The sequence below is a fragment of the Homo sapiens genome, chromosome 1, assembly GCF_000001405.40.
Source record: "Homo sapiens chromosome 1, GRCh38.p14 Primary Assembly".
Classification (NCBI taxonomy): domain Eukaryota; kingdom Metazoa; phylum Chordata; class Mammalia; order Primates; family Hominidae; genus Homo; species Homo sapiens.
Window position 1 is genome coordinate 74,838,977 of NC_000001.11, and position 13,625 is coordinate 74,852,601.

At 34.0% G+C, this 13,625-nt stretch overlaps 1 annotated feature.

Annotated features, from left to right (window-relative positions):
* Positions 6,696 to 7,197: an enhancer, noted in NCBI's record as "NANOG hESC enhancer chr1:75311356-75311857 (GRCh37/hg19 assembly coordinates)". NCBI's record gives its function as "activates a minimal SCP1, AML or CMV promoter by ChIP-STARR-seq in naive H9 embryonic stem cells {active_cell/tissue: H9 hESC(naive)}" and the evidence as "EXISTENCE:reporter gene assay evidence [ECO:0000049][PMID:30033119]".

Below are 13,625 nucleotides of genomic sequence, written 5' to 3' on the forward strand. Positions count from 1 at the left end.
CTAGAATTCACCTTTATAACCATTATACTATTGTGCTTTTTGGAATGAATGCTTTCTAAGCAGCATATAACTCTGTAAAGTTATGAGTCTTTGATTTTTACATACATAATAGCTATAAATATTAAAATAAAATTTAAACATTAATATTAAAGTCACTTTTATATTTACCTTTTACACATTTTTTATTTACTTGGTTCTTTTCAGTATTGTTATAAATGCTTACCTAATTTTAAATTCTACTTATTCTGATTAATAATAATTATCATTGTCTTTTTGATGTTCACATTGACCATTGGAAGCCCCCGACACTGACTCCTTTATATTTTTAACATGGCCTCTGATGTCATGGGATACATACTTGCTTTTTGACAACAAGAGGACATTCCAAACCCATCCTGAGTTTTCCAACCACAAGTATCTAGGAAATCCTATTTCATTTTGGTGTTGAAATAGTATAAGACATAAAAATACAGGTATTATGAGTACTTATGAGAGTTGGTGATAGGAAAAAGCATGGCTGCTGCTATTGGGACATTTTTAGTAGTGATGGAGTGGTAAAATACATCCTTTTTAAAGACATTAGCTCATACAAATTTTCCAATTGAATTGGCTGTATTTTTGTACTCTACTGTTCTTATAGTATGAGATTTCATCAAGTCTAAAGACCTTCTATCATAACGGCAATAGGGAGAGAAATTCAAATATAAAATAAAACACCAACAAAATAGCATTGACACCCTGTCATATCCCTAAAGATTAAAAAAACAAAGCAAAACAAACAAACAAAAAAGATTGACAATGCACTATATGAGTAAGGATGAAAGGAAACAGTCAGTCACAAATGTTACTAGTCTAAATTAGTATAACACCTGGAAAAGGCAGTTGCCAATCTCTAATAAAAGCCTAAAATCATACACATCCTTTGAGCCAGCAATTTCACATCTAGGAATTTATTCTACAGATATTGTCATATACATGCAAATGATTTATGTACACAGTTATTCATGCCAGTGTTGTTTGTAAAAGCAAAAAATGTGGAATCAATCTAAATGGAGAAGTAAATTATAGTATATTAACACAATGGGATACTACTCAGATATTAAAATAAATAATGACAAAAGTTCTTATGCAATAACATAGAATAATATTCATGATATATTGTCAAGTGAAAACAGCAAGTGCTATAGGGCATATTAAATGAATCATTTGTACTTTAAAAAAACACTTTAAGGCATATATATCTATGTCCTGTATGTGTGAAGTACCCATGTACCTATATGTGTGTATATATATAACATATACTTGCATATAAATGAAGCATTTGTAAAAGGATAAATAAAACACTGGTATTAGCGGTTACCTTCAGAGTAGGAGTTGGGAGAGCTGACTCTACATCTGTCCTTTTTTGTTCCATTTGAACACATTAACTATTCTGTGACTCCTCCAAATTAATTAAATACAAATAAAGTGGAAAGGATATATTGCATTCCATTTACTACACAAAATGTAACCTTTAGAAAGTTCATACTATTGAACTTTCAGTTCATGGGATTAAGAATTTCATAAAACAGATCAAAATGAAGATAAATCAACAGACTGAAATAAAAAGGAAGCTGGCTGAAATACAGGCAGGATTATTTTTTTAAGGATTGCAAGAAATTAGGAAATACACATTTTAAAACTACAATTACAATCATAAAATTAAAATTAAAAGTAGATTCAATAAAAAGCACAGCTGAAGACAAAGCAGAAAACCAAACCAGTAATGTAAAAGACAAACTGGGGAAGTGTTAAATGCACAGGAAAAGGACAGATTGATGAAAAAGAGGAACAGTGATCTGATATATGGTGCATGGTATTACCTAGGAAGAAACAAACAACGGAATTGGAATCAATTGTTATGACACCATAAGAGAAAATTTTTTCAAGTTGACAAATGATCCAGGTCTGTGATGTAAAGGTCCTAAAATGAATGAAGAGATATATATTCTTGGTCATCTCTTTGTACAACTTAAAATAGTCTGGCCCCAGGCTTCTCCTCCAAATTACTGTACAACAAAGATAATAAAACAAATGAGCAAATTTGGAGTGGGTAATAACTTTTATTGCCAAGAAATTTGTCACTCAACCATACAAGCATGAGTTCAAAACTCTGATATTTAAAAACTAATGGTTTTTAAAAGTTAATAAAAGTAGCAGCAAATCAACAAAAACAACAGGAAAGAAAAACAAAATATTCAAGTAAATGAGAAATGTGCAGAATTTCAATAAAAAAAAAATCTTAATCCAAACTGGCCAATATAGAGAGACCATATCTCTACATTAAATTTAAAAATTAGCCAGGCCTGGCAGCACATACCTGTGGTCCCAGCTACTTGGGAGGCTGGAGTGGGTGGATTGTTTGAACTCAGGAGGTCAAAGCTGTAGTGAGCTGTGATTGTGCCACTGCACTCCAGCCTGGACGACAGAGAGAGACCTTGCTGCAGGAAAAAAAAAAAAAAAAAAAGTCTAAGATTTTATATCCCAAGTTTTCACTGCTAACAACAAATAAGCAGTCACAAAACATTGATCAAATGGAAAAAATCTAAATTAACCAATACATTTAATGAGCCCCCAAATAAAATTTTCATGGCACTTTCTGAACTTTGTGAAGCTGAAGGTTATCCAGAAGAATAAACATGGATGAAGAACCAGAAGGGAAAAAAGACAATGAGTACCCTATCCTTGTCAGATATAAAAAAGTTAGAATATTTGAAATAGTATAAAATGACATCAGGATAGGCTGACTAATAAAACAGAATAAAAGTACAAGAATAGACCCAAGCACAGATGAGAATTTATTATAACATAAAGGTAACATTTCAAATCAGTGTGCAAATGATTGATTACTTAATAAGTAGAATAATTTCCTAAATATTTAGAAACTTAAATTCTTTTAAGTTTTCCATGCATTAAAGACTTAGGGGTAGGAAATACATTTTTAAAAGTTCTAGAAGGGATATACCAGTGAATATATCTTACTAAGATGGACATGACATTTCTCAGTACAAAGAAAAATATCGACTAATTTGATTTCTGTAAAGCTACATCTTGCAAAAATTGCCATAAAGCTAAATGATGAACAACAAACTAAAGGAAATATTTCAGATATGGGTGAACTACATGCCACTGTTATCCTTATATATAAGAAACTATTATAAAACTAATAAGAAAAAAATGAAAATATGGCAAGAACATGAATCAACAGGCACATGAAAAAAGAAGTGTGTATGCTAATACAACAAAAAGATGTTCCATGTAACTTGTATTTAACAAATGAGTTATTAAATAAGACTTTTTAGTCCTCATTAAGTGAACAGTTCAGTTTATAAAACGATGTACAAACTAATCGTGTGTGTGTGTATGTGTGTGTGTGACAGAGAGAGAGAATATATACCAAATGTAGTCTGAGTCACTACTGAGGTAATTATTCTGATTTATACTGTTCTATATTTATTCATTATTTATAATAAACATGTATTAATTTTAAAATCATAATATAGCACATAAATATTTCCGAAGAAAATGTACTGGACATAGATATTTTTCAACTTTAAAAAATACTATTTTCATGCTCCATAGCACGTTACAAAACAGAAAAAGAGAGAAATTTTAGAATGCATTTTACCAACAGAACACAATCTCAACCTCCCGCAAATGATATAAAGAAAACAGAGGTACATAAAAGAATATGGGAATAATTAGAAAGACATATCACATAGGTGGGTAGAAGAATGAATATTATAACAATGTCAATTCTTTCAAAAATAATTTGTAGACCTAATGTAGTCTAATCAAAATCTCAATGAATTATTTGCAGTGTAAGATGAAAGGAGTTTAAATGTCCCTGGAAGAAGAATCAAACCATAGAAGCAAAAATGAAGAGGGCAGGAAAAGAAAAGTGCTGACGGTGGATTAATTGATCAGACAATTAAAACGTTATAATGCCTTGAGAACTGAAACAGTGAAGAATTGGTATAAAAATATATCAATGCACCATTTAAACAGAATAGAAAGTTCTAATACAGATCATAATATGTGTTAGATTTTAATATATAAGAAGAGAAAAATATTTAACAAACGAAGTTGTAAAAATTAGTTAACTTTTCTGATAAAACAAAATAAAATCCTAAGTTTACACCAAAAAGGAGGTGTTCCTTTTTTACTCTCTTCTCCTTTCTGCTAACTGAAATGTAAGCTTGATGGCTACAGCTTAGGCAGCCATCTTAAATCATGAAGTAAAAGTCTATTTCAAGGATGGGGAAATAACAAACTTGAAGTCTTTGTCCTTGATAGCAGCTGCCAAACGACTCCTAGTCCGCTTACCAACAGACTTAATTTATGTGAGAGTGACATTAACATTTGTATGCCACTGTTATTCAGCTTTTCAACAACTCACAGCTAAATTTAATTCTAATTGATACACCTGGGTCAGAACAGTTGAAACCAATAGTACAAACATGGTTGCTAAGACTGGCCCTTCTGCAGGACTGATGGTTAGGGATAAGCAGCAAAGAAGGGGTTTTGAATTATTCAATCACTTCTAAAGATCGACAATATAACATGATGTATTATGAAAAGGTTTCTGATCAAGTATCAATTAGGTTATTATCTAGGATTTAGTATGTGTCAAAATAGATTCAGGACAATATTTAGAAACTACTCTGATTGTTGCTCCCCATGTTCTTATTCCGGGTTTATCGTATATATGCCTTGTCATAGCCAATGAAACCAGAGTTGGCTAGCTTTTACTACTATTGAAATTCATTTATCAAAAGTGTACTTCGTCACTACCATGTACTAAGCACCATTCTAGCGATGCAGCAGTAACTGCCAAAAAAAAAAAAAGAAAAAACACGCTGCCCTCATGATCTTGTATTACAGTGAAGGGAGGCAGAAAACACCCAATCAAATAGCTAAAATATATAGTATGTAAGAAGTTGATTAAATGCAAAGAGAAAAATAATAAAGAATGGAAGGAGGATAGGGAGTGTCAGAGGGTAGCAATTTTAGATGGAGCTTGTAGAGAGAGCATTTGTAGGAAGGAGATGAAGTAGCAAGCCATCTGATATTTGTATTAAAACACTTTAGGCAGAGAGAAGGGCAAGTGCTTGGGGTGTGCAATGCCTGGCAAATTTGAAGAATAGTAATGTGGGCAGTGTGGCTGGAACAGAGTGAACAAAAGGGAGACTCATAGGGGATGGGATAAGAAAGGTAGAGGGGAACCAGCTTGTGTTGAGCTTTGGAATCTCTAGCTTTTACTCTGAGTGAGATGAAAAGCCATTAACAAGTTTTGAGCAAAGGAGTGACTTGATCTGATTTAATTTTAAACTAATCCTTCTGGATGCTGTACTGTAAATAGACTAGGCATACATACAGAGACTGATTCATTCAGGAGAGATGATGGTGGCTTTGACCAGTGTGGCAACATTGGGGATGCTGAAGAGGAGTCTGGATACCTTTTGGAGATAGTGATGACAGGTTTGCTCTAAGGAATTGGATGTGATGTATGAGAAAAAGAGAGAAAGAATGGCTTCAAGGGTTTTGGCCTGGGTAACTGTTAAAAAGGTGATGTCATTTACTCAGATGGCAATTACTATACTAGAAAAGTCTGGACCTCTCTGTTGATACTCTAATTCTCTCTGAGGTTGACTGCTTAGGACACCTGCACTTCACCCCATACTTTAAAGGGCCTGGACTTGGCCCTCCAAAGACCATTTCTTTCTTCACAGGGTGAGGCTTCCATGGAACCAAGAAGATGTGTCACTCAGCCTCCACTTCTAGATAATGTTCCAGGTGGGACCCTGGAAATCCCTGTCAAATTCTCTAAACCCACTTCCAGGATCTATGTAAGTGCCTATCAATCCAAGTGCAGGCCAGACCATCAATATATGTACCCCCAGCCCAAATGCATAGTAGGGGATAGCTGAATGTGAGATAGTAGGGGTTATGGATGAAATTCAGGATGAGGTGCTCACACACATCTGTGCTAGACCTTTTGTCAAGTGAGACAGAGCCAGGGGTAAGAAGAAAAAGGGGGCAAGCTATGGGTGAGGTCCTAACCTTCACTTTGCCACATTTTGGCATGGAACTCTGGGATGCTTGAAAATTCTAAATTCAATTCCAACTTGAAAGTTTATTATAAAGTATATTTATCAAGCTAGGAATATAGTACATATTTTATTCAACAGGTTGAGAGCCTGACATAAATATTTAGGTGTGTGGTATGTGGGCTCTAGGCCCTGAAAATTATAGGTCTTGACCTGCATTGTAAACATATTGCCATTGATATCAGGCACATATTTACTTTTCTAGATGGGACCCTGAGAAGTAGAGACTGGCCTATTACTGAACATATTATCATAACATTCTTCTGTGGTAACAGACATGGATTTATTTTTTCAGATGGGGCCCTAAAAGGAGTCCCCTCTTTACGCGCTCTCACAGTTCTTAGCTCAGTATTGAGCACCTGTGCAAGTGTTGGAAAACTACTGATCCTTTCTATTCTTAATTTTCATACCTTCAAAATGGTGCTAACAACTTAAAGATTCTTGTGAGAATAAATAAATAACATATAAAGTAAATAAGCAAAATGCTAAGCATGCTGCCTCACACATAAAAAACACCCACATGATTGTTGTTCTTTTCTCAGTAAACATTATCTTACATTTTATGCATTCTTAAATTTTAGAAAAACATAAATAACTACAGAAGCAATGAAACAATTTATGTAAGTGTTTTTCTAATGCCCACTGAATTCTCTCTCACATCAAAACCTGGGAGAACATTTGCATGCAGATAAGTAATTCTTGTGTTCTGTTTTAGAAACTAGTACCATGTTTGCTTCTTGAGTTAAATACAGAATTCCCATTAGTGTTGATGGTAATTAGCCCTGCAGAACAAAGAATGATGAATGGATCCCCTGCTGAGGAATTACTGTAATGACTTTGAACTTTAAGAAATAAACTCAAGAAAGCTACACATGAAGATAACCTCAGGGCCTGCACTCCTGCTGCCATCCTAACTACTATTTTCAGTGGGTAGTCATAAACAAGTCACTTCTCAGCCATATTGTTCTTTATGATCAAATATATGAATAGAATATTCTAGAGGATGTGCCTTAAATTAAGAACATTTGACAGTCCTTAGTGGTACAGACTCCCTGTTTACTGTAAAATGCCCCAGCTATCAACTCAAAGGCCAATCTATATTATAGTAAAGTTGCAGTAGTAGGAATAGTAGTTGTAATTGTAATAGCAGCACCCACCTTGATTGCTTTCATTTCTGATCACCCACCTAAACTGAAGGTTCAACTCTATCCAGCATTTTTAATATGTTCTTGTTACGTTCCTGTATTAGTCAGTTCTCACACTGCCATAAAGAAATACCTGAGACTGGGTAATTTATAAAGAAAAGAGTTTTAATTGGCTCACAGTTCTGCAGACTACATAGGAAGCATGATGCTGGCATCTGTCTGGCTTCTGGGGAGGCCTCAGAAAACTTGCAATCATGGCAATGGCAAAGGCAAAGGGAGAGCTTTAACTCATGGCAGAAGGCCAAGCCAGAGCAGGCATCTTCACAGGGCCAGAGTGGGAGGAAGATAGAGAGTAGGAGAGGTGTCATACACTTTTTAAACAACCAGATTCACGACAACTCATTCGCTCTACAGTACCAAGCGGGGGATGGTGCTAAACCATTCATGAGAACTTTTTCCCTATGACCCAGTCACCTCCCAGGCCCTCCAACATTGGGGATTACAATGTGACATGAGATTTGGGCAGGGACACAGATCCAAACCCTATCAGTTCCTACTGTGTTTTTCTTATTCACCATAAAACTTTATATCTTCTCTACTCTTTATAGCCTTCGTTGAGCCATACTGGGAAACAGACCATACAATCAGGGAAACAAATTCTCATTATATTAAGTTAAATTATACCAAATAAATGTTTGTGCTAAAATTAAGAATAAAACTGTCATATGATCGAGCAATTCCACTTCTGGATATATACCCAAAAGAATTGAGAGCAGGGATTTAGAGAGATTCTTTGTATACCCATGTTCATAGTGGAGTGATTAGCTATAGTCAAAAGCTAGAAGCAACCCATGTATTCATGAAAAATTGATTGAATAAACAAAATGTGGTACATACATGCAATGGAGTATCATTCAGTGTTTAAAAAGGAGAAAATTCTGGTACATACTGCAAAATGGATGAACGATGAAGACATTATGCCAAATGAAATAAGCCAGTCACAAAAAGGCATATACTATATGATTCCACTTATATGAGTTATCTAAAGTAATTAGATTCATAGAAACAGAAAGAAGACTGGTGGTTACCATGGGCTGGGGGGAGGAGGAAAAGGGGAGTTGTCATTTAGTGGGATACAGTTTCAGATTTGCAAAATTAAAAAGTTCTGGAGATCTGTTTCCTAACAATGTGAATACAATTAACACTACTATGCACTTAAAAATGGTGAAGATTATAAAATTTCTGTAGTGTGTTTTTAACCACAGTAAAACAAAAATAAAAAACAGAAAACTTTTTGTTTTGAGTTATAGTTTTTCAACAAATATGCTTACGTGCTTACCACATACCATATCCCATGCAGGCTTAATATTTTGCTAATGATGACATTAGGGAGCTGAGAGTGTAGCAATATAATAAAAGTTTGAAAATAGAGATGATTGAATAAAACTTTGCAATATAATTCTGTGCGTTTATCCTCTTAAATAATTATGCGTATAAAGGAATGCTCTCTATTGCTGGGGAAATCTTGTGTTGATTTATTTCCCTTTCCTTTACACCACCCTTACGTTAAACACATTTCTTTACTCTACTAGGCCAAAGCATCTACAAGAAGCATGCACTATATCAAGATGAATTGTAAATGGCCTGACAGGCATTACTCAGCCTGAGATCACCAGTTTGGTGTTTATCTATGTACAAGAGCCAAAGTATTCCTAAAAAACTGCTTTAACTGCAAATTTCTGAGTAGCAAAGCTATTTTCTCACTTACATTAAAAAATTAGAGAATTGTTTTCATGGAAAATATTTTGATCCAAAGACAAAAGTAGTGTTCTAATTACACCTACACAGGCAGTTTTTCTTCATTTTAAAAATTCTTTTTAAATAATTTCACCTTTTAGTTTATACTCAGGGGATACATGTGCAGGTTTGTTACATGGGTATATTGCTTAATGCTGAGGTTTGGAGTGTGACTGAACCTGTCACCCAGGAATTGAGCATCATATTCAACAGTTACTTTTTCAATCTTTAGCCCTTCCACTCTCACCCCTTTATTAGTTCCAGTGTTTATTGTTGCCATCTTTATGTCCATAAATACCCAATAGTTAGCTGCCACTTATAAGTGAGAATATGCAGCATTTGGTTTTCTGTTCCTGCACTGATTCACTTAGGATAATGGCCTCTAGCTGCATCCACGTTGCTGCAAAGGACGTAATTTCATTCTTTTTTATGGCTGCAGAGTATTCCATAGTATATGTGTACCACATTTCTTTATTCCCTCTCTTAAAGACTTCCTGAAATAATATATTATGAAAACAATTATTATAGATGATCACTTATTAAGAGTGATGCCCTTAAAACTGACCAATAAGATCTTTCAGTAAATATCTATTATTTCATACCAGCCAACTTTTAGGCACTGCCCTAGAATCATAAATCATTGTTAAATAAATATACTCATGCTGCTACTCCCCCTGAAGTCCCTACATAGACTTTTCCATGTGACAAATAGGATGCAAATCAATGTTTACAGTTGCTGTGGTATCAATACAGAGATACCTTATTTCTGTCTCAGATTGCTGGCACAAAGGTCCTAAAAGTCTTGTAATTCCCTGAGTGATTAGGGATAGGAGCTTCTTCTGTTTAAATGAGGTAAATCTTTTTTTTAAAATTTCATTTTTAGTGTTTGTGGGTACATAGTAGGTGTATATATTTATGGGGTTCATGTGATATTTTGATATTGGCATGCAATGTGAAATAAGCACTTCATGAAGAATGGAGCATCTATCCCTCAAGCACTTATCCATTGAGTTGCAAACAATCTAATTATACTCTTTATTATATATTGTACAGATAAGTCATTATTAACTATAGTCAACCTGTTGTGCTATCAAATACTATGTCTTATTCATTTTTTCCAACTTTTTTTTGTACTTATCAACCATCCCCACCTCCCCCCATCAGCCCTCCACTACCCTTCTCAACCTCTAGTAATCATCCTTCTACTCCCTAGGTTCATGAGTTCAATAGTTTTAATTTTTAGATCCCACAAATAAGTGAGAACATGAAATGTTTGTCTTTCCGTGCCTGGCTTATTTCAACTACATAATGATCTCCAGTTCCATTCAGGTTGTTGCAAATGAGAGGATCTCATTTTTTTTATGGCTGAATAGTCAGTCCTCCATATATGTATCACATTTTCTTTATCCATTCATCTGTTGATGGATACTTAGGTTGCTTCCAAATATTGGCTATTGTGAGCAGTGCTGCAACAAACATGGAGTGCAGATACCTCTTTGATGTACTGATTTCTTTTATTTTGGGTATATACCCAGCAGTGGTATTGCTGGATCAATGATAGCTCAATTTTTAGTTTTTTGAGGAAACTAAACTTTTTCCCACAGTGGTTTTACTAGTTTCCATTCCCATCAAAGTGTACAAGGGTTCCCTTTTCTCCAAGTCCTCGCCAGCATTTGTTATTGCCTGTCTTTTGGGTAAAAGCCTTTTTAACTGGGGTTAGATGATATCTCATTGTAGTTTTGATTTGCATTTATCTGATGATCAATGACGTTGAGCACCTTTTCACATGCCTGTTTCCATTTGTATTTCTTCTTTTGAGAAATGTCTATTCAAATCTTTTGCCCATTTTTCGATCAGATTTTTAGAGCTTTTTTAGAGAGTTGTTTTAGCTCCTTATGTATTCTGGTTATTAATCTCTTGTCAGAGGGGTAGTTTGCAAATATTTTCTAAAATTCTGTGGGTTGTTTCTTCACTTTGTTGATTGTATTGTTTGCTATGCAGAAGCTTTTTAACTTGATGTGATCCCAGTTGTCCAGTTTTGCTTTGGTTGCCTGTGCTTGTAGGGTATTGTACAATGAATTTTTGCCCAGACCCATGTCCTACAGACTTTCTCCAATGTTTTCTTGCAGTAGTTTAATGGTTTGAGGTCTTGTATTTAATTCTTTAATCCATTTTGATTTTATTTTTGTATGTGGTGAGAGATAGGGGTCTAGTTTTATTCTTCTGCATATGGATATTTAGTTTTCCCAGCATCATTTATTGAAGGGACTGTTTTACCCCAACGTATGTTCTTAGCACCTTTGTTGAAAATGAGTTCACTGTAGGTGTGTGGATTTGTTTCTGGGTTCTCTATTCTGTTCCATTGTTCTACGTACCTGTTTTTATGCCAGTAGCATGCTGTTTTTGATCACTACAGCTTTGTAGTATAATTCGAAGTCAGGTAATGTGATTCCAAATGAGGTAAATCTTGGTAGTCCTCTAGTTAGTTTCAGGATGGGGGCTGGGAACCAAAAAGACTAATGTTTGATTAGAAACGTGGAACTTTCTTCCCCAATTCCCAACCTCCAGGGAAGTGAGATGGGGTGGCGATTGAGTTAATCACCATGATCCAATAACTCAATTGATCATCTCTATCTAATGAAACCTCAATTAAAAAAAAAAAACCCAAATGATGGGTTTGGAGAGCCTCCAGGTTGATAAACACATTTACCTGCCTGGAAGATTGTGAGCCTCCACAATCTTCATAGTCTATAATCTCCCACACTTGGGACCCTTCCAGACCTGGACATGTGTATCTTTTCATTGGCTATTCATTTCTATCCTTTATAATAAACTGGTAAGTGTAAAATCAGTTGTCCTATCATGTATGTGTGGGTTTATTTTTGTACTTATTATTCTGTTTCATTGATCTACTTTTCTAACTTTATCCCAGTGAAATGCTGCCTTAATTATTATAGTTTTGTAATATGTCTTGAAATCAGATAACAATAGCCTCCACCTTTGTTCGTTTTCCAAATTTGTGTTGTCTATCCTAGGTCCTTTGTATTTCCAAATGAATTTTTGAATCAGTTTGTCATATTCCAAAACAATCAAACAAACAAACGAACAAACTTGCTGGAATTTTAATTGGGATCTTTCTTAATAATTTCTAATTTCATTCCATTGTAGTAACATAACATACTCTGTATGAATTAAATCCACTTAAGTTTAAAATTGGTTTTATGTCCCAGAATATGGTGTATCTTGGTAAATATTCTGGGTATGCTTGAAAAGAATGCACATTCTGCTATTATTGAAGGATCTTTGATCAATCTATGTCAAGTCAGTTGATAGTGATGTTCAAATCTATAATAACCTTGCAGATTTTCCTATGTAATTATCAAATATATTAACTATATTTAGGATTATAGTTATTAACTCAATTATTTACTATAATTGAGGATTTGCCTATTTATCCTTGCAGTTCTATCAGTTTGCCTCCCATATTTTGAAAGTCTCTATTAGGTATATAACTTATTATGTCCCCTTAATTAATTGGCCTCTATACCATTTTATTAATCTGTGTCCATGTTGATATTCTTTATTCTGAAGTCTACTTTGATATTAACATAGCCACTACTGCTTCCTTTTGACTAGTGTTTGGATGATATATCTTTGTCATCCTTTTACACTTAACCTATTTGTGTCTTTATATTTAAAGTGTGTTCTTTTAGACCACATGCTGCTCTATAGAACGAGCTGAAAAATGTTCCATTTTTTTCTATTTATTGGAAGAGTTTGTAAAAAATTGATATTAATTCTTTCTTGATGTTTGATAAAATTTACCAGTGAAGCTATCTTAGCCTGAGATTTTCTTTGTGGGTTGTGTTTTTATTATGAATTCATTCTCTTTATTTGTTACAGGTCTGCTCAGGCTTTCTGTTTATTCTTGAGTGCATTTCATTAATTTGTGTCTAGGAAGTTGTCCATGTCATGTAGCTATCTAATTTGTTAGTATAAATTTGTTTATGGTATTCCCTTATAACCTATTTTATTTCTATAAATTCAGTGGTAATATCTTCTCACTTATTCCTTATTTTACTAAAGTCAGTCTTCTTTTTTATTGATCAGCCTAAAGACTTATAATTTTGTTGATCTTTTCAAAGAACTACTTTTTGTTTCCTAATTTTTTATTTTTCCTTTCTCTATTTCATTATATTTCTGTTTTAATCATATGACTTCCTTCCTTTTGTTTGTTTTACATTTAATTTGCTCTTATTTATCCTGTATCTTCATTGGACCTTTGGGTTATTGATTTGAGATATTTCTTATTTTTTAACATAAGTATTTATAGGTATAAATCCTCCTCTAAACACTGCCTTAGTTGCATCCTATAAGTTTTGGTCAGTTGTGTCTTCATTTTCATTCATCTCAAAGTATTTTTATAATGTTCCTTATGATTTCTTCTTTTAATCCATTGGTTATTTAGGATAATTTAATTGCCACATATTTGTGAATTTCCCAAGTTCTTTCTGCTATTGATTTCTACTTTTAT